General features: G+C 41.1%; 1 protein-coding gene across 2 annotated transcripts in view, besides 1 other annotated feature; it reads right to left on the bottom strand.

Moving 5' to 3' along the window:
• The window catches only part of HSD17B2 (hydroxysteroid 17-beta dehydrogenase 2), a 63,282-nt gene that overhangs the window by 6,799 nt on the left and 34,614 nt on the right, over positions 1–21,869 (bottom strand). The window contains exons 3-4 of one of the 2 annotated variants that reach the window (NM_002153.3): positions 20,609–20,794; positions 697–834 (exon numbers count right to left, since the gene is read on the bottom strand). In NM_002153.3, the coding sequence (NP_002144.1) occupies positions 697–834; positions 20,609–20,794 (324 nt within the window). Of the gene's footprint in view, positions 1–696; positions 835–1,502; positions 1,572–20,608; positions 20,795–21,869 lie in introns of those variants that run through there. The other variant, XM_047434049.1, reaches the window with a different exon arrangement.
• Positions 20,167–21,366: an enhancer, noted in NCBI's record as "MED14-independent group 3 enhancer chr16:82103975-82105174 (GRCh37/hg19 assembly coordinates)". NCBI's record gives its function as "activates an origin of replication core promoter dependent on BRD2, BRD4, P300/CBP and CDK7 cofactors, and independent of MED14, by STARR-seq in HCT116 cells {active_cell/tissue: HCT116}" and the evidence as "EXISTENCE:reporter gene assay evidence [ECO:0000049][PMID:35650434]".

Raw genomic sequence — 21,869 nt, 5'->3', positions numbered from 1 at the left:
ACAACCCCTTCCCAACCCCCTGCACTAAGAGACTTAACGAAACTCCAGCACAGTTTCTAGCAGCATAAGGCCCTGTCCCTTGGATAACACCAGCCCCTCCCTAAAATGCCTGCCTAAGAAGGCTCAACCTTGCCAGAAAATTTTACTATTTGTTCTATCCAAGACATCCCTGAGAGGTCCCTGACTTCCCTTTCCTGAAATACTTACTAAAAAAGAACTTTAAATTGTAAATATATAGCTCTTGCAATGCAGAAGCATTTCTCTCCAGGATCTGAGAGCCATTCCTTTGGAACTGAATCATCAAGGATCAGACCTCTGTTTCTCTGTCTCTGTGGGAAGACAGAATCTGGACTTCTTTAATTGCCAGCTGGCAGACACAGCTGGCCCCTCTGCATGGACACTGATGGACCCTTGTACTTTTTCACTAATCTGACTTACTGAGCCATGCTTTCCCCTCTCCCTGGTTTTCCTTTTAAAATGTTTAAAACACCTTCGCACAAATCAGAATGGAGCTTAGCTCTTTCCCCTACTGTCAGCAGTTACTGAATCAAACCTGTTTTCACCCCTTTAACTGATCTCTGGCTGTGCTCATCTTTGACAACAATGAGGGGTTCAATGTGTGCTCTGTCAGACCAAGAGGACCTTCGGGGTTCCTTCCAGGATGAACATCACAGGTTCTTGGGCTCAGAAACCTACTTGTTAGGAAGCCTCCAGGTTGGATGGAAGCAACTTTAATTCCCCACTTGGAAAGCTCCAGTCTCATAACTGATGAGAACATGGTCACAGCCGCCTTTGATGAGCCATAAGATGCCAGCCTTTCCATTGGGGCCCCTCCTATGGGAATAATGGGAGAAAAAGAAGCAAAGTTAGAAATGTTCATTTGTTCATCCAATAAATATTTAATCAGTGTCTACTGTATGTAGGAACTGGTATCAGTGACTTGGGCAGACAAAGGCAGGCAAGGCCCCCTGAGCCCAGGTGAGCAATGTTCTTGCTCATTCCCACAGTGTAGCTTCATTTGCTTCTGCCTTCTTTGGCTCCCCTATTGCAGCTGGTATGATGACAAACCAAGTTGAAGGCTCAATCTTGTCCAACTCCTAAGCAAAATGTAATTTAGGGCTGGCCGCAGTGGCTTATGCCTGTAATCCCAACACTGTGGGAAGCCAAGGTGGGCAGATCACCTGAGGTCAGGAGTTTGAGACCAACCTGGCCAACATGGTGAAGCTCCGTCTCTACTAAAAACACAAAAATTAGCCAGGCGTGGTGGCGCATGCCTGTAATCCCAGCTACTCATGAGGCTGAGACGTAAGAATCGCTTGGACCCCAGGGGGCAGAGGTTGTAGTGAGCTGGGATCACGCCACTGCACTCCAGCCTTTCGAAAGAGTGAAACTCCGTCTCAAAAAAAAAAAAAAAAAAAAAAAAAAAAAAAAAACAATGTAGTTTAGGTAAGATGAAGAGCACCTACCGACCAGGCCCTGATCTTCTAGCCTGACCAACATACCTTCTGAGGTTCCTGGTAAACATATCTTTTTGTGGGGAGGAGGGTCCACTATTCAACCCACTACAGCACCTGTAATCGAACAGATTGTGCTCAATACTTGTTGCAACGAGGAATAACATACATCCTGGGAAATGGTGGGGCATCTCTTTAAGAGGATGTGAGAAAGGACTTATTCTAGGGCTAGAGCAGATGCTCTGTTTCCCACCTAAATCATATTTAGCTTAGAAGCTGGTGAGATTGAGCCTTAAACTGAGTTTGTCACTGGACCAGCTATAAGGAAGTAATGGAAGGCAAGATCAAAGGAAGCCAAGAAAGGGAGTGATCCACTTGGAATAAGAGTCTCTGAAGATGTCACTGAGGCAAGGATCTCTAGGAAAGGCCATCCTGGATTAGGATGGGCCCTAAATCTAATTAATGATGGGTGTCCTTATCAGAGACAGAAAAAGAGAAGGCACAAGGGAGAAGGCCACATGAAGATGGAAGCAGAGATTTGGGTTATGTTGCCCAAGCCAAGGCACACCTAGGGCCACCAATAGCTGAAAGGGGCAAGGACAGATTCTTTCCCAGAGCCTCGAGAAGGAGCACAGCCCTGCTAACACTTGGTTTAGACATCTGGCCTCCAGAACTACGAAAGAAAAAATTTCTGATGTTTTAAGCCACTCCGTTTGTGGTGATTTGTGACAGCAGCCCCAGAATATGAATTGAGGTGCATTCCTGGTGGTCTTCAGCAGGAAGACACTGATGTTATGAAGGAGCAAAGACAGTAGGGCTCACAGTGCCTCATGAAGTCTCACACGAAGACTAGACCCATAACAACAGGGCTCCCAGGCTTGGCAAAGATTTCCCAAGTGAAAGAAGCATCCACTGGGTGAATGGATAAGCAAACTGTAGTCCAGCCATATGATGGAACACAACTCAGCCATAAAAGGGAATGAACTTGATACATGTAACAATATGGATGTCTCAAAACAATTATGGGCAGTGAGAGAGCCAAACACAAAAGGGTATGTACTCTTTGGTATAATTCCCTTCATGTAAAGTTCAACAAATGCAAATTAATCTCTAGTAAAACAGATCAGTGGTTACCTGAAGGGTGGGGGTGCTATGAACATTGTGCCCACCCCCATCAAAATTCGTATTTTGAAGCCCTAACCCCTAGTGTGATGGTATTTGGAGATGGGGCCTTTGGAAGGTAATTAAGTCCTGAGGGTGGAGCCTTCATGATGAGAGGGATTAGTGCCCTTTTAAGAAGAGACACCAGTGAGCTTATTTATTCTTTCTCTCAGACAATTGGTGAGCTAGTAATTTATTGTCTCTCAGACAATTGAAGAGCTAGTAAATTCCTCTTCCATTTTTGGTGTAAGCTAACTTGGGGTTTGGCCCTGTCACTTAAACACAAAAGGTCCCAAGGCTTAACTGATATAATTTTAACACGATGTCTGGCATCAAGCAGACTCTCATTAAACTGGTTAATCTTGCCACAGATGGCCAGCGGATTTTTATGTAAGTGATTTATAGTTTCATGAAATCTTAGCGTTTGAAATCCAACTCCTTTCTATTACTAATAAGGGAGGCCAAAGAAGTTACAGCAACTTGTTCAAAATCACAGCATGGGCTGTGTGGCAATCCCAGTTCGTGGGGTTAGCCAGAGTTCTCACTTCTCCATGACCTTTATAGATGTTGAAGGTTGGTCAGATAGAAGACAAACAGGTTAGCAGAGGAGCCAACACTGACTGCATTCAAATCCTAGCTCTGCCATTGATTAGCCACCTGTTAGCAGGATAGTCACTTTATATTTGGTCTCTGCCTTTTTATCTGTAAATTAATAATGATGGTCCATGCATCATAGGATCGTTGCGAAAGTTAAATTAATAATATATTAGAATAGTGCCTGGCACAAAGTAGCTCCATATAAGGGCTTTCTACCATTAGTGCTACTCAGGCTTTTCAAAATAATATCTCAATAGCCCAAAAGGCTCCATATGTTCACGGTTTCTTAGAGTAATAAGTGCACCTGCTTCAGAATCTCCAGCAGCCGTTGTTTACTATGTGGATTACTAAGAGCCACCCTGGACCCACTGAATCAGAATCTGCACTTAATACTTATTCAAGTAATCTTTTGAATATTAAACCTTGAACATTAGAGTTTTGTCACATATTTGTGCACATGAGCTTTTGTGATAATGCACTGCCTTATGGGTAAGCGCTGTGGTTTGAATGTGTCCCTCCAAAAGCGTATGTTGAAACTTAATCCCCAATGAAACAGTGTTAGGAGGTGGGGTGCACCAAGAGGTGATTAGGCGTTGAGGATGGGGTGAATGGATTAATGCCATTATCTTGAGAGTGGGGTCGTCATAAAAAGGGGATTTTGGCCCCCTTTCGCTCTCTTTCTCTTTCTCCCTCTCTCTTGCCCTTCCACCTTCTGCTGTGGAACAGCACAGCAAGAAGACCCTCACAAGATGCCACCCCTTTGATCTTGGACTTTCCAGCCTCTAGAACCAAGAGCCAATCAATTTCTGTTCATTATAAATTACCCAGTCTGCAGTATTCTGTTATAGCAACACAAAACAGACTAAGACATGACATATGAAGTTTGTTGACAGTAGATCATATACCACATTGACAATCTAAACAAAAAGCATGCTTTGAATCAAACATTTAAGACTCATTTGTCTTTTGCATTAATTTGAACCCTGCAAGAACTGCCAATATTAGACCATGTCTTACCTATGAAATGGCAGTATTGTATGGTTCAACCTCATCCATCCAATCTTGCCGTTAATGTTTAAGATGACGTAAGATGAGATAAATATAGGTGTCCAAAGTTGCTGATTAAGAGCCGCTGTGTCTTAAGGCTTTTTGACGTTATGTAACCCTTCATTGTCTGTCCAGTTACAGCCTCTAATTTTTTAATTTAACTTTTAATTTTCTCAAGGTAAAAACACTTAATGTGAATTCTACTTTTTTAACATATTTTTTAAGTGTGCTATACAGCTTTGTTAACTATTGGCACAATGTTGTATAGCAGATCTATGTAACTTATTCCTCTTGCATTACTCAGACACTTTGAATAACCTAACATTAGGTAACTTAAGAGAACACACCTTGTTATGGACTTAATGTTTGTGTTTCCCAAAAATTCCTATCTCAAAGCCCTAATCCTCAAGATAGCTGTATTTGGAAATGAGGACTCTAAAAAAGTAAAGTTAAATGAGATCAGAAAGATGAGGCCCTTGATCCAACAGAATTAGTGTCCTTATAAGAAGAAACACCAGACACCTCACACTCTCTCCTTGAACATGCACCAAGGAAGGGCTATGTGAGGACACAGCAAGAAGGTAGTTGTCTGTAAACCAGGAAGAGAGCCCTCACCAGAAAACCAACCATGCTGGCATGCTGATCTGGGACTTCTAAACTGCATAACTGTGAGAAAATAAATTTGTGTTGTTTAGGCCACACGATTTGTGATATTTTATTGTGACAGTCTGAGCAGACTGACATACGTAGTCAACAACAAGACCTGCCTTAATCAATAATGTACAGAACTATGGACTCTTTCCACTCTTCCTAGACGTAGACTGCACCCTTTCTATCCTTACTTAGCATAGGCACGAAAAATCATCCCCTCTTCTAAGTCATATTCCCCCGAATGCCTCTGTGAACTATTCAGTCAATTTGTTCCCTGGGCTGTGTTCCCTTACCTGGCAGGGGAATAAATTCAGCATTCACTTTGTTGATTATTCTGGTGGTCATTTTATTTCCTTTACATTGTGATATATTGTTGACAGTAGGCTAAAAATAAGGGACTTGAAGTTACCATTCTGAAGCTTACAAAAGAATTGTGAAGACCCTCTCTCTCCCCACCGTATGTGTACTTAGCATCATGTTTTCAAGGTTCATTCATGTTGTAGCGTGTATCAGTACTTCACTCTTTGTAAAGCTGAAAAATATTCCTTTATATGGATATGCCACATTTTATTTAGCCAGTGATCCTTTTATGTATTCTTAAGTTGTTTCTACCTTTGGCTATTGTGAATAATGTTGCTATGCCCATCTATGTATGAGTGAGTTTTTGTTTGAACACCTCTTTTCTATCTCTTACATATACACCCAGGAGTAGAATTGCTAGGTCACACAGTAATTCTAAGTTTAACTTACTGGGGAACTGCCAAATGTTTTCCACATCTGCTGAACCATTTTATATTTCTACCAGTAGTATAAGAGGGTTCCAATTTCTCCACATTCTCACCAACATGTGTTTTTTCTGTGTGTTTTTTTTTTATTATAGCCATCTTAGGGTGTATATTATATTATGGTGGTTTTTCATTACGGCCATTTTAGGGGGTATGTTATCTTATTGAGGTTTTGATTTCTAGCAATTGTGTATTTAGAAGCCCTCCGGTGATTCTGATGCATCTCAAGCTTGAAAATGTGGTCCGGGGATTAGTACCGCCAACATCACTCAGGAACTAGTTATAGACATGCAGAATCTTAGGCTCCACCCAGACCAACCCAGTCAGATTCTGCCTTTTAGCAAGATCTCCAAGTGATACCCACATATGTCAGTGTTGAGAAGCAATGGAGTAAGAGACAGCCCTAAATTGCCAACACTTCCTGATTACCATTTAAACAGAACAGAGTTAGGGTTTTTTTTTTTATGCCCCTCCTTGTCTGACATGTTCTTGCTTAACAGCCTGGAAAAGTAGAAAGCACATAGTACTTGGAGTAAAACAGATCCCGGTTCATATCCTGACTTTATCACTTACCAGTTACACAAACTTGGGTTACAGAGTGCTTGATCTAGAAAATTAATTAATATCTGCATTCTGTGGATGTTAGAATGAATTGACTATAGGCATGTAAATCTCTCACACAACCCAGCATGAGGAGGTTCACTCAGTCTTGCTCTACCCACTTTCCCCCTTGTCCCACAATCTCCCTAAAGAGTGTCAGGGAAGAAAATCTCAGCCTAGGCTTCCCATCTTGCCACTGAGCAGCTGAGAGACTGGCTGAATGACTTGCCAAATGATTCTTTTAAGGCAGCTGGCTCAGCAAGGAAAAGTCCAGGAATGATCCCACAGTCTGGACTGAGACAGAACTCAAGGCTGAAACTGTGAACTCTTCTAGATCTTTTAATTTGTAGACTTGTAAGAATCTCTAAGATTGCTTGCTTTGGTATAAAGTAATTCTGAAGTATTTTAAATAGCTTGGGACGGCCTCAGTAGCTCATGCCTATGATCCCAATACATTGGGAGGCCAAGACAAGAGGATTGTTTGAGGCCAGGAGTTCAAGACCGTCCTAGGCAACAAAGTGAGACCCCATGGCAAAAATAAATTAGCAGATGTGATGGCATGTGCCTGTATTCCCAGCTACTCAGGAGACTGAAGTGGGAGGATCGCTTGAGCCCAAGAGTTCAAGGTTATAGAGAGCTACTATCGTGCCACTGCACTCCAACCTGGGCACCAGAGGGAGACCTGTTTTAGAGGGGTTTATCTTCAACTCTTCTTATTCAAGCATAGCATGCAATTATACACAGGTGTTTACTCTGCGATTTCTGGAGGAAAACTGGCCCGAGAAAGGTTTTGGGCCTCAAACAGAACAATTTTCCAACTGTCCTTTGTACAATTAGAATTGTTTTCCACTTCCTCTAATTCTAGGTAAAAAAATAAAAAAAATAATAATAAAAAGAACAGTTTGATGTGGCAGGCAACTGTGATTACTCTCTCTCCGTTGAGAGGTCCCTTTTACTTGGATATTTCCTATATACCAGTAACTGTGCTAAGCACTCAAAACCCATGGTTCATTTAAATCTGCAGCCAAGATCAGAGGTTTTCAACTGGGGGTGATTTTGCACCCCAAAGATCATGGGAAATATCTGAAGACGTGTCACAATTAGGGGTGGGTGCTACTATTATCTAGTGGGTCAAGGACACATATGCTGTTAAACACCCCGTAATGCACAGGACAGTGCCCTTACAGAAAGAATTCTCCCCACCAAAATGCCAGTAGTGCCAAGGTTGAGAAATATTGCCCTGGACTCAGGTGCTACATGACCCTCATTTGAAGATAGAGACATGACAAGTAAGGTGACCTGACCCAGGTCACCCAGCTAGTAACCGAAGAGCAAGATTTAAGCCACAATGACACAAAATCTCTGAGGCCTGGGTCATTTTAGCAGGGCTTGTTTTTGAGCATAGCATGCAATTGCACACAAGTGTTTATGCGAACATTTCTGAAGAGCAAAACTGGCGACTTTAGGCCTCAAAGAGAAAGATTTTCCAACTGCTCTTTGTACCATCAGAGTTGCCTCCCATGCCTCTGATACTTGGTTAAATATTTATCCAACTGCCTTGCTGGGATTTGGGTTAAAGAGCTATGCTATTTATGTGGGAGGGATAATCAACATGTTATTACAATGGGGAAAAGTCTCCTGTAGTAGACATGGTCAAATCTGGAAGGAGTTACCTGTTGGGGTCATCTCCTCAGGAGCTAGTAAGTGACGGGGCAGAGGATGAAGGGTAATTCGGTGTCACAGTCAGAGGTGGTGATACCAGCAGCTGGCAGATTAAGAAGCTGCAAGCATACAGACTGTCAGCTGCTGCCCCAGATCCTCATGGTGGGATGGTTTTTGGGTCGCTAATGCTACTGGACCATTCACTGCATGCCAAGCACAAGACTGATGCTTAAACATGTGTTATTTCATCTCATCTCTCCATGGACCCCAGAAGAAGCAATTACTATTATCCTTATCTTATAATGAGGAGGCTGCAACTCAGAGGTTCAGAACTGTTCCCAAGGTCACGCAGTTGTCATTGGTAGAGACCGGATTAAAACCCGGGCAGTCTGTCTTCATTCTGCTTGCCTGGCATCCTAGAAGATTCTTACCTGTATTCCTACATGATGTCTTTTACTCTTTCCCTTTCATGTTCCTTTCTTTAGGGATGGAAGATGTAGGAGGGAAGGACACCGGAGGGAAGGACATGGTTGACTCTAGATTGCATTTCTTAGAGAAGAACTTAAAGAAGTAATGTTTCTCCCCATCCCACTCCTGGAACTTCCCACCCGTAGGAGTGTATTTAGAAGACATGGGTTATGTTGACTTTATTTCCACACAAGAATGGGAGTTGGGCTGGAACAAGCATCTAACAGTGGAGCTAGTAGAAAGCAAAAAATGGTCAATAAGGTACCACTGGGAAGAGCATCTGAGACCCTTTGACTTAGTGTTTGATGTGGTGGTAACATATGTTTACACTGAGTCACCAGGGAAGGAGGTGGCTTGGTGAGTCAGAACATGAAACTAAAGTTCAAGTTCAAGTTCTAGCTTACAGGCCAGTCACTGAACCCTTCTGACCTTGGTTTTTATAACTGAAAAATGAGAATAGCAACATTACATAGGTTATTGGGGTCATATACCTGAGAGCATTCAACAAATGCCTGAAATGTAATGGATCCTTCATAATAACTCTTAATGTTTATTAGGTGTCTACTATATGCCAAGCACTGTTCTGAGCGTTTTAACATCAGCTCTGAATGTATTTAATGGTCACAACTGTCATAGGAGGTAGATTCTAGTATTATCCTCAGGAACCTCATTTTTAAAAATGAAAACACTAAAGTGTATAGGGTTTAAGTGACTTTCCCAAGGACACAGAAAGTGATAGAAATAATAGCTAACACTTACATAAAATTTATAGTGTCCACACAAAAGCTTGTACAAAAAATATTCAGAGAAGCATTATTCATAATAGTCAAAAGTTGGAAAGAACCTAAATGTCCATCAACTGATGAATGGATTTTTAAAATGTGGTTATATTCATATGCATATTCAAAAAGCTGCAAAGAAACCTATTGAAGAGGACATTTTGGGAGTTTGAACTTTCAGGCAAACATCCTTTTAAGCAATGTGTACATTCCAACTCTGGCTACCTCTGCCCAAATGAGAGGCACATGGAACTTCTCACTGAGGCTGGACAAGCAGATAGAAGGTCAGGAGAAGGTGTGGAAATTCTGCCTGATAGAGACAGCAAGGAGGATAAGAAGTGGCCAGTGGGCACAGGGAACTGAGCAGTCTTTAACGGAAAACAAAGGAGCCAAACTTTAATGGGTTAATGAGGTTGCCAAGAAGTAGAGGCTGCAAGTCACCTAACTTTTGAAGGAGCTCAGGGAAAAAGGGGTAAAGAAGCTCTTATTGTTCAGCTCCCACTTACAAGTGAGGACATGTGGTATTTGGTTTTCTGTTCCTGCGTTAGGTTGCTGAGGATAATGGCTTCCAGCTCCATCCGTGTCCCTGCAAAGGATATGATCTCATTCCTTTTTATGCCTGTGTAGTATTCCATGCTGCATATGTACCACATTTTCTTTATCTAATCTATCATCGATGGGCAATTGGGTTGATTCTGTGTCTTTGCTATTGTGAATAGTGCTGCAATGGAACACACATGTACCCCAGAACTTAAAATAAAAGCTAAAATTAATTTTAAAAATAAAGAAGTGCGGGGCAGTGTCCATTAATAAAAATAGTAATAACTCATAACCTTCAGGGAAGACATACTACACATAAGCAGCTATGCTAAGAACTTTGTGAGAATTATTTTATTTAAGCCTCAGAACGCTCCTATGTGGTCATATTTCCTCTGCTTATTTGTCCACTCTTATTGCCTCCACTTTACAGGGACAAAAGTGGAGCTTAGAGAGGCTATAGGACCTCGGGTTTTCCAGGAGTGTCACCCAACCAGGCAGTGAAGAGGAGAGCCCCACCCTCCTGGCTGCCAGCCCAGATCAAAGAGAAAAGTATTGAGAGTCTGGGGAGGAATCATCCTTAGAGCATAGCCTGGGGTAGAATGAAAGGCCCAGGGAGAGAGAAGGAGTTAGTGGGGAGGAGGAAGGAGGAAAGGTTGAAGAGGAGAATGAGTGACAACAGAAGGAGAGAGGAGAATTTAGGGAAGTTCATGCGGGAACAGCTTCAGTTTGCTTCTGAGAGTTTCAGAGAGGGAGGGAATAGAGCAGACAAATAAACAGCAAACACAATTTGCAATAATTTTTTCTTCTATTCTGCACACCTCTTGCCTTCCAAGGAGGGCAGATCCAATGGAAGTGCTTAGTTTATTGAGCAGCTAAGAGTAGATGGATGTGATATGAACGTGCTGGTTATGGGAGAAGGAAGGAGAGGGAAAGATGAGGAAAGAAACCAGGGAGATTTGGGAGCCAGAAAGGACAGGGAGGGGGAAGTAACCAGAGGTGAGGTGGCTGGCAACTGAAGACCTTCGGAAGGAGGAAAAACAAAAAAAACAAAAACAACAACAACCACAAAAATCTGAAGGGAATTTGCATTAAATAGTGCTTTGTGATATATGGAATCTCTAGTAAAATCTGTTTGATTGACTCTGCCTTTTTGGAATGCGATAAAGTGCTAAGCGTTCCTTCAACATGGTGTAAAGAATGAGGAGAAAGTGTTCATGGAGACCTGAATTACATGAGATTGGGAGGAATGAAGTTTAAATTTGAGGAGAAAAAAGAAAAATGTTTGGAATCGGTAATTAGGTGCATGTGATTTGTTATAAATTGGAGCTCGTTTAAAGTCAAACCAGACACATTATTTTCCCACAGCTGCTGTAACAAATTACTACAAACCTAGTGGCTTAAACATTACAAATTTATTATCTTATGATAAAATCAAGGAGTCAGCAGGGTCATGCTCCTTCTGGAGGCTCTAGGGGAGAACTAGTTCCCTTGACTTTTCCAGCTTCTAGAAGCCACCTGCATTCCTTGGTTTCTGGCCCCTTCCTCTATCTTCAAAGCCACCTAGGTACCATCTTCCAGTTTCTCTCTGACTCTGACCCTCATGCCTCTTTCTTATAAGGACCCTTGTGATTGCATCAGATTCATCCAGAATATCCAGGATAACCTCCTCATCTCAAGATCCTTCACTCAATCACATGTGCACAGTACCATTTGCCACGTGAGGTAACAGGCTCACAGGTTGCAGACAATGGGACGTGTATGTTTCTGGGGACCCATTATTCTGCCTCCCAGACCAGCTGCCTACTCACAACAGCCTGAGATAGTTTCTTCAGGGTTATTTACTCTGCAGCAATGAATAACTGGAACAGAGTCATCAATTCCAGCTCAGTTTTTCCTGGCTGGTGCAAAGTTCCATGATAAATCTATGCCACCAAAATTCTTGTCACTCAGAAGGTGACAGAGGTGCCAGACTCAAGACAATCTGGTGGGTCAGGGCAACCACGTGCTTCTTCTGGAGCCCTTATTAGTGACTGACTGCTTCTCTCCCTCCATGCACCTTGCTTCAAAATGAAAATAACAGCAATGAACTCCCAGATAAGCATGTTTCCAAAGTTACTATTACATTGATTTTGCCAAAGATATATCAACAAGTCAGCATCACATTGGATGTTAATTTCTGTGGATTTGTTGGTTATATATTGCCTTTTACACATACTTTGACTTTTCTAATCCTTGTGTTACATTCTAGCTTTTTCTTTTCCGGCTCAAAATCTTTTCTATTGTTTCACAAAACTCTCCAGTAAGTGCTAGAGAGCCCCTCACTGTGTTCTCTGCTGAATTCCCCTGTCCCTTATCAATTACAGTGTTATGGACTGAATTGCTCCCCCCACCACCCAGAAAAGTTTGTATGTGGCAGTACTAACCTCCAGTATCTTGGAACGTGACTGCATTTGAAGATAGAACCTTTAAAAAGATGATTAGGGTTAAACGGGATCATAAGAGTGGTGCCCTAATTCAGTATGACTGCCATTCTTATAAGAAGAGGAAGAGACACCAGGGGTGCAACAGACAGAGAGATGACCATGTGAGGACACAGCAAAAAGGTAGTCATCTGAAAGCCGAGGAGAGAGAGCTCAGGAGAAACCAACCCTGCCGACACCTTGGTCTTCGACTTCCAGCCTCCACAACTGTGAGAAAAGGAATTTCTGTTTTCTGAAGACACCTTGTCTGTGGTATTTTCTTATGGTAGCCCTAGCAAACTAACACAGAGGAAAATCGATCATTTCAGAGCTTTGTTTCTTTTTTTTTAATGTTTAATATTTTGTGGGAACATAGTTGGTGTATATATTTATGTGCTACATGAGGTGTTTTGATACAAGCATGCAATACATAATAATCACATCAGGGCAAATGGAGTCTCCATCACCTTAAGCATTTATCCTTTGTGTTGCACACAATCCATTTATGCTCTTTTAGTTATTTTTAAATGCACAATTAAATTATTATTGACTATTGTCACTCTGTTGTGCTATCAAATAGTACATCTTATTCATTCGTTCTATTTTTTGTACCCATTAACCATTCCTACTTCCCCCTCCTTAGTCCTCTCCACTACTCTTCCCAGCCTCTGGTAACCATCCTTCTACTCTATCTCCATGAGTTCAATTGTTTTAATTTTTAGCTCCCACAAATAAGTGAGAACATGTGAAGTTTGTCTTTATGCTCATTATGTTATTTCACTTAACATAATGACTTCCAGTTCCATCCATGTTATTGCAGATGACAATATCTCATTCTTTTACATGGCTGAATAGTACTCCATTGTGTGTATATGTACCACATTTTCTTTATCCACTCATCTGTTGATGGACACTTAGGTTACTTCCAAATCTTGGCTATAGTGAACAGTGCTGCAACACACATAGGACTGCAGATATCTCTTTGATATACTGATTTCCCTTCTTTTGGGTACATATCTAGCGGTGGAATTGCTGGATAATATGGTGGCTCTATTTTTAGAGCTATTCTCCATAGCAATTGTACTAATTTACATCCCCATGAACAGTGTACAAGGGTTCTCTTTCTCCACATCCTTACCAGGATTTGTTATTGCCTGACTTTTGGATGAAAGCCATTTTACCTGGGGTGAGATCATATCTCACTGTAGTTTTGATTTGCATTTCTCTGATGATCAATGATATTGAGCACATTTTCATATGCTTGTTTGCTATTTGTATGTCTTATCTTCTTTTGAGAAATGCCTATTCAGATCTTTTGTACATTTTAAATGAGATTATTTGATTTTTTCCTGTAGAGTTGTTTGAGCTCCTTATATTTTCTGGTTATTAAGTCTTTGTCAAATGGCTAGTTTGCAGATATTTTCTCCCATTCTGTGGGTTGTCTCTTCACTTTGTTGATTGTATCTTTCACTGTGCAGAAGCTTTTTAACTTGATGTGATCTCATTTGCCTGTGCTTGTTGGGTGTTACTCAAGAAATCTTTGCCAATTCCAGTGTCCTGGAGAGTTTCCCTAATGTTTTCTTATAGTACAATAGTTTCACAGTTTGAGGTCTTAGATTTAAGTATCGAATCCATTTTGATTTGATTTTTTTATATGGTAAGAGACAGGGATCTAGTTTCATCCTTCTGCATATGGTATCCAGTTTGTTTTTTCTTTCTTTTCTTTTCTTTTCTTTTCTTCCTTTCTTCCTTCCTTCCTTTCTTTCTTTCTTTTCTTTCTTTCTTCTTTCTTTCTTTCTTTTGAAACAGGGTCTCACTCTGTCATCCAGGCTGGAGTGCAATGGTGTGATCACAGTCTGCTGCAGCCTCTATCTCCCTGAGCTCAAGTGATCCACCCACTTCAGCCTCCTGAGTAGCTAGGACTACAGGCACATGCCACCATGCCTGGCTAATTTTTTGTATTTTTTGTAGAGACATGGTTTTGCCATGTTGCCCAGGCTGGTTTTGAACTCCTGGACTCAAGCAATCCACCTGACCTCCCTGTGTGCTGGGATTACAGGCATGAGCCACAGCACCTGGCTGAGTTTTCTCAGCACCATTTATTGAATAGACTGTCCTTTCCCTGGTGTATGTTATTGCATTTGTTGAAAATGAGTTCACCATAGATGTGTAGATTTATTTCTGGGTTCTCTATCCTGTTCTGTTGGTCTATATGTCTGTTTTCATGCTGGTACCATGCTGTTTTGGTTACTACGGCTCTGTAGTATAATCTGAAGTCAGGTAATGTGATTCCTCCAGTTTTGTTCTTTCTGCTCAGGATATCTTTGGCTCTTCTGAGTCTTTTGTGGTTCCATATAAATTTCAGGATTTCTTTTTCTATTTCTGTGAAGAATGTCATTGGTATTTGGATATGGATTGCATTGAATCTATAGATTTCCTTGAATAGTATGGACGTTTTAACAATATTGATTTTTCCAACCTATGGACATGGAATATCTTTCAATCTTTTGTGTCCTCTTCAATTTCTTTCATCAATATTATATAATTTTCATTGTAGAGATCTTTCACTTCTCTGGTTAGGTTAATTCCCAGGTATTTCATTTTATTTGTAGCTATTGTAAATGAGATTACTTTCTTGACTTCTCTTTCTGATTGTTTGCTATTGGCATACTAATGCCTGTAATCCCAGCCTTTTGGGAGGCTGAGGCAGGCAAATCACAAAGTCAAGAGATCGAAACCATCCTGGCCAACATTATGAAACCCTGTCTCTACTAAAAACACACACAAAAAAATAGCTGGGCATGGTGGCGCACACCTGTAGTCCCAGCTACTCGGGATGCTGAGGCAGAAGAATCACCTAAATCCAGGAGGTGGAGACTGCAGTGAGCCGAGATCACGCCACTGCACTCCAGCCTGGCAACAGAGCGAGACTCTGTCTAAAATAAAAAGAAGTACATGCTACTGATTTTTGTATGTTGATTTCGTATCCTGCAACTTGACTGAATTTGTTTATCAGTTTTAATTGTTTTTGATGGAGTCTTTAGTTTATTCTAAATATAAGATCATATCATCTGCAAACAAGGATAATTCAACTTCTTCCTTTCCAGCTTGAATGTTCTTTATTTCTTTCTTTTGTCTGCTTGCACTAGCCAGGATTTCCAGTATTATGTGGAATAACAGTGGTGAAAGTGGGCATCCTTGTCGTGTTCTAGATCTTAGAGGAAAGGATTTCAGTTTGTTCCCATTCAGCATGACAGTAGCTATAGGTCTATTGTATATGGCTTTTGTTACGTTGAGATGTGTTCCTTCTATACACAGTTTTTTTTTAATTGAGGGTTTTTATCATAAAGGGATGTTGAATTTTATCAGATGCTTTTCTTAGAATCAATTGAAATGATCATATGGTTTTGTCCTTCATTCTGTTGAGATTATGTATCACACTGATTGATTTGTGTAAATGTTGAACAATCCCTGCATCCATAGGATAAATCCCACTTAGTCATGATAAATGATCTTTTTAATGCGCTGTTGAATTCAGTTTACTAGTATTTTGTTAAGGATTTTTACATCAACGTTCATGAGGTATATTGGCCTGTAGTTTTCTTTTCTTTTTTTTTTTTTTTTAACATGTATTTTCTGGTTTTGCTATCAGAATGATATAGGGCTCATAGGATGAGTTTGGAAGTATTCCCTCCACCATTATTTTTCAGAATACTCGAGTACAATCGGTATTAGTTCTTCTTTAAAAGTTTGGTAAAATTCAGCAGTGAAGCCATGAGGTCCCAGCCTTTTCTTTGCTTGCAGACTTTTTACTACTGCTTCGAACTCGTTACTTGTTATTGATCCATTCAGGTTATGGATTCCTTCATGGTTCAATCTTGGTAGGCTCTCTGTAAGAATTTATCCATCTCTTCTAGGTTCTCCAATTTATTGGTATATACTTAGTTACTCATAGTAGCCTCTAATGATCTTTTGAGTTTCTGTGGTATTGGTTGTAATGTCTCCTTTGTCATCTCTGATTTTTATTGGGTCTTCTCTCTTGTTCTTAGTCTTGTTCTTAGTCTTGTTCTTAGTCTCATTAAAAGTTTGTCAATTTTGTTTATCTTTTCCAGAAACCAACTTTTCATTTTGCTGATCTTTTGTATTGTCTTCTTCTTTTCAATTTTATTTATTTCTGCTCTAATATTTATGATTTCTTTTCTTCTACTAATTTTGAGGTTGGTTTGCTCTTGCTTTTCTAGTTTTTTGAGATGCATCACTAGGTTTTTTACTTGAAGTGTTTCTACTTTTTTAATGTAGGCACTTATAGCCGGTAGCCAGCTTCCCTCTTAGTACTACTTTCACCACATCCCATGGGTTTTGGTATGTTTGATTTCCTTTATCATTTGAGAAATTTTTAAATTTCCTTCTTAATTTTTTTCATTGACCTACTGGTCACTCAGGAATATATTGTTTAATTTCCATGTGCTTATATAGTTTCCAAAATTCCTCTTATCTTTTATTTCTAGTTTTGGTCCATTGTGGTCAGAGAAGATACTTGATATTATTTCATTTTTTAAAATGTTTTAAGACTTGTTTTGTGGCCTAACATATGGTCTATCCTTGAGAACGATCCATGTGCTCAGGAGAAGAATGCATATTCTGCAGCCTTTGGATGAAGTGTTCTGTAAATAACAATTAGGTCCATTTGGTCTATAGTGCAGATTAAGTTTGATGTTTCTTTATTGATTTTCTGCCTGGATGATCTATCCAAAGCTGAAAGTGGAGTATTGAAGCCTCCAGCTACTAATGTATTGAGGTCTATCTCTCTGTTTAGTTCTAATAATATTTCCTTTATACATCTGGGTGCTCTGGTGTTGGGTGCATGTATATTTACAATGGTTATATCCTCATGCTGAATGAACACCTTTATGACTATATAATGACCTTCTTTGTCTCTTTTTACGGTTTTGATCTTGAAATCTATTTTGCCTGATGTAAGTATAGCTACTCCTGATCTTTTTGGTTCCCATTTGCATGAAATATCTTTTTCCTATCTTGACAGCGCTTTGTTTCTGTCTTTACACAAACTCCCGGCCCTGTTGAGTACATATGCCTCCCATCTCTTCTGATATTGTTACTTGATTTCTTGTTACTGTTTTAGTAGCTTTATAAAGTACCTTGGGTGGTTTCTGAGTCCTACAAATAAACTCATTTCTAGAGTTTCTCCAGGACATGAAGATTCAAAACTGGATGTGATGAACGAAAACTTCATACATCTTGGTGAGTGGGTGGGAGAAAGAAGAGAGAGGCATGGGGAAAAACAAATCCAAGATGACTCAAAGATCTGAAACTCAAAAGACTAGGGCAGAAAGAAGTCAGGGTCCAGTTACAATGTTCTGCCTATGGCTAGCCAGTTACCCCAGCATCGTTTATTGAATAGGGAATCCTTACCCCCATTGCTTGTTTTTTTCAGGTTTGTCAAAGATTAGATGTTGTAGGTGTATTGTTTTATTTCTGGGTTCTCTGTTCTGTTCCATTGACCTTTGTATCTGCTTTTGTACAGGACCATGCTGTTTTGCTTACAGGTAGCCCTGTAGTATAGTTTGAATTCAGGTAGTGTGATGCCTCCAGCTTTGTTCTTTTTGATTAGTGGTGCCTTGACTATTCATGTTCTTTTTTGGTTCCATATTAATTTTTAAATCTTTTTTTCTAGTTCTGTGAAGAACCTCAATGGTAGTTTAATAGGAATAGCATCGAATCTATAAATTGCTTTGGGCAGAGTGGCCATTTTAACTATATTGATTCTTCTTATCCATGAACATGAGATTTTTTCCATTTGTTTGTGTCATCTCCAATTTCTTTGAGCAGTGTTTTGTAGTCTTCCTTGTGGAGATCTTTCACCTCCCTAGTTAGCTGTATTCCTAGGCATTCTGGAGGGCTGACAGCAAGTTTTGTTTCAGATGGGTTAACTTGGTGATGATCTTAAGAAAATAGATGGACATAGCTGGGTGTAATGAATTTGCACAACCAGAGGGTGAGAATAAGAGTGAGATATGCCCAGAACTTTGGGGGGCTGAGGCGGGCAGATCACGAGGTCGGGAGATCGAGATCTTCCTGGCTAACACGGTGAAACCCCGTCTATACTAAAAATACAAAAAAATTAGCTAGGTGTGGTGGGGGCGTCTGTAGTCCCAGCTACTAGGGAGGCTGAGGCAGGAGAATGGCGTGAACCCGGGAGGCGGAGCTTGCAGTGAGCCGAGATCGCGCCACTGCACTCCAGCCTGGGCGACAGAGTGAGACTCCATCTCAAAAAAAAAAATTAATAATAATAATAATAAAAGAGTGAGATATGTTATTTATTTTAACATTCAGAGTTTCCCTTCAATGAAAATACATGACAACAGAGTAAGAAGTTCTGGCTTGGAAAGAGCTTTAAAGGCCAAGTTGAAGATATGTGGAAGGTTATGCTCTGTATTGTGAGTTATTTTTTGAGAGAGCGTCTCACTCTCTCACCCAGGCTAGAGTACAGTGACATGAACACAGCTTACTGCAGTCTTAACCTCCCAGGCTCAACAGATTCACCTCAGCCTCCTGAGTAGCTGGGACTACAGGCACATGCCACAATGCCTGGTTTGTTTGTTTTTTTCTTAATTTTTTTGTACAGACGAGGTCTCACTATGTTGCCCAGGCTGGTATCAAACTCCTGGGCTGAAGTAATCCTCCTGCCTTGGCCTTCCAAAGTGCTGGAGTTACATCCTTGAGCCACCGCACCTGGCCTTGTACTGTAAGCTTTTCACTTACCCATTCATTAATCCATTTTCCATTTTTCACTCGTTCATACACTTGCATTTCTTCACTGATTAACTGAGCTGCTGGTGCATGCCAGACACTGGGCCTACAGCACATACTGCACATTTTGGCAATAACTAAAGTGAACTCATATGAGTGAAGGTGTTGCTCAAAGTTGAGAACAGAGGAAAAAAAAGAGAAACCTCCTTGTCAGTGTGCCAAGGAGGAGGCAGTACTCTGTTATTTCAGTAAATATTTATTATATAAGTGAGGCAAAGAGTCTGTGAGACGTTCCCAGAAGTACCAGACTATTCCAGGGAAATGAGAAAGGTGAGGCTTCCACACAGGCCAAAATTGTAAAGGCTAAGTTCAGAACAAAGATTAGGAAAATATTGCTGTGTGTTTTCTCAGGATTCATTTGCTTTGGCAAGGTAGCAGGAAATTGGAACTACTTTAGGGTTCTCACACAGCTAAAATATAATACTCATTGCTCCTAACCATCCTAGAGGACACTTCGTCTCCCCCAACTCTTTCTCTCTCTCTCTCTCTCCCTACCTTCTTCTTTGTTTATGCCTCAGGCCAACCAAGACTCTAGTCAAAGACACATAGCAGTTAGTTTTAAGAAAGTTACTGAGTTAAAGCCAGGAAAGGGAATGTGATGGACAACTATATTTGTCTAGGAAATGCGAAGAACCCCCTCCCTGACCAAATCATTCTAGAACTGATATTCACATTACCAAAAAAAGCACAAAACACAAAAGTCAAGCAAACAAACAAAAACAGCATAGTCATACCCTTTATTTTAAGAAATTTTACTTAGAATTAATTGATCCAACAGTGAAGAGTGGTACTCCTCTATTTGAAGGCAGGATCCTAGGATCCAGAGCCCATCCCTTTGGCTTCCCTCTCACCTCTGCAGTGACCCAGTGACCCAAAAGTCAGGTCGATGGATCTTCCCTAAACTGAACAAGAGCCCAAGGAACCCCAGTTTGAAAATGTCTGTCCCAGAAAAGAGGGCATGCTATGACACGCATGGGCATTTTTTATGAAAAGGCAAGACTGTTCAGCCCTTGACTCAAGTTGTGTACTATTTGTTCTTGGAAACAGAGAGAGACAAACTATCCAGTGTCATCACATCCTGACCTAGCTGGATTGAGGCTGCTCAACACTGGGGACAATCTTCGGGTTAACAATAGCAGGCAGCTTTTGTTTGATGGCACAAACAGAGGGAAGGTATTGCCTACTCAGCTTACAGGGAACTGAACACAGTGTGTTAAATTGACGAAGTGTTGAAAACAGGTTGCCTGAAATGCTGACATTATTTGTAATGTGAGATTTCCTGTACAAATCTACCAACCATGTGTGTTGGCAGTCACATTATAAAGACATATAAGAACCCTAAATCCCCAGTAACAAATGGATGAGTTAGAAGGCAGATAAGAGTTTCTACATGAAAGAATTTGAAAGAAGAGAAAGGTTTTATTGTGATAAGACCAACAGGGTATATACAATTTGACTAATCCTGACCCAACCCTGCCTTTGCATGCCCTGCATTTTTGTTCGCCCACATAGAATGCCATGAGCCATGTCTTGTGATGGGCACCCCATGACCATGTGTGAAAATGCTGACTCACCTCCCATGCTGCTGACATTCACCAGCCTCCCTTTGGATTTTCTAAGAAGAGGCAAAAACGTCTTTGTGACCTCCACAGTTCCAAAGAAGTTCACGGCCATGCATTGTTTGTAGTCAGTCATAAGAAGAAGCTCCCCATCAGTTGGAAAGCCAAGCACCCCAGCATTGTTGATCACAGCCCACAGTCCTGGAGACAGAAAACCATAATGAGTGAGTGTCTGGAAGAGGAAGTGAATAACACAACCTGCAATACCTGGAAGACCATGCAAGAGGTGTTACGTGTGAGCCAGGTCTCCTGGGGGATTAGAGTCTGCCACTGGACAAAGGCAAGAGCCTTAGGGAAAGGGAGTGGGAGTGGGAGGGGAATTCCTGTAACAGGAAGCTAGATGTGCAGAGATGTAAAGTAGAATATTCTGTTCCAGAAACTCTTCAGAATTTACTAAGTGAACCAGCAGGTATTGCAAATTAAGGGTTTGGCAGGAGCCATTATCCTGAAAGGACCTCTAGTCCTTGTTAAGGTGCTTAGATAGGGAACCACTGATAGGGAACCAACAAACCACTGATAAATTCCCCATCACGGGCATGCCACATGGGCGGACCCCAACACGTGGAGGCTCTGTATGTCTAAAGGTTTTTAGGAGATGGATGGCACTGTAGAATGTGAATGCTGTGAAGATGAGTCTCTGGAAAGTAATGGGGAAGGAAAGATGGGTTGCAAGGAGGGCATTGGGATAGCCGAGGTGGAAGAAGGTGAGGGTCTGTGCTAAGTCGTAGTGCTATGCAGTGGTAGGAAGGGGCTGGAGGGTAACTATCCAGGAGGTGGAATTGACAGGACTTGGATCAGTAGGATACAGGCACTGAGGATAAGCTGAGGGTCTCAGTGACCCGCAGGTTGCTGGCTTGAATGACTGGTTAGGTGGTAGAGCCAGTGTCTGAGCTGTGGGATGCAGGAGAGCAAACCGATTTGCAGAATGGCAGCAGGGGGAAAAAAAACAACATTTGACATGTTGAAGTTGAAGCCTCTGGAGTATAAGGGAAGATGTCTGATAGATAACTTTGTATACGTGGAGAAGAAGGATTAGGTTGGCAATATAGTAATAGATTTGGGAGTTATTGGCGTAAACCAGTGTTTCTTGGCCCTGCGCTAACATTAGCATCACATTGGGAGCTTTATAAACTAATGATGCCTGGGATCCCGTCCTAGAGACTGATTTAATTGGGTCTGGGGGATCTGTTCAGTCACACAGGGCCTGGTGCTTCAG

This window comes from Homo sapiens, chromosome 16 (assembly GCF_000001405.40).
Source record: "Homo sapiens chromosome 16, GRCh38.p14 Primary Assembly".
NCBI lineage: Eukaryota > Metazoa > Chordata > Mammalia > Primates > Hominidae > Homo > Homo sapiens.
The sequence above is the reverse complement of the archived record's forward strand: the minus strand, read 5'-3'. Positions and strand labels throughout refer to the sequence as shown.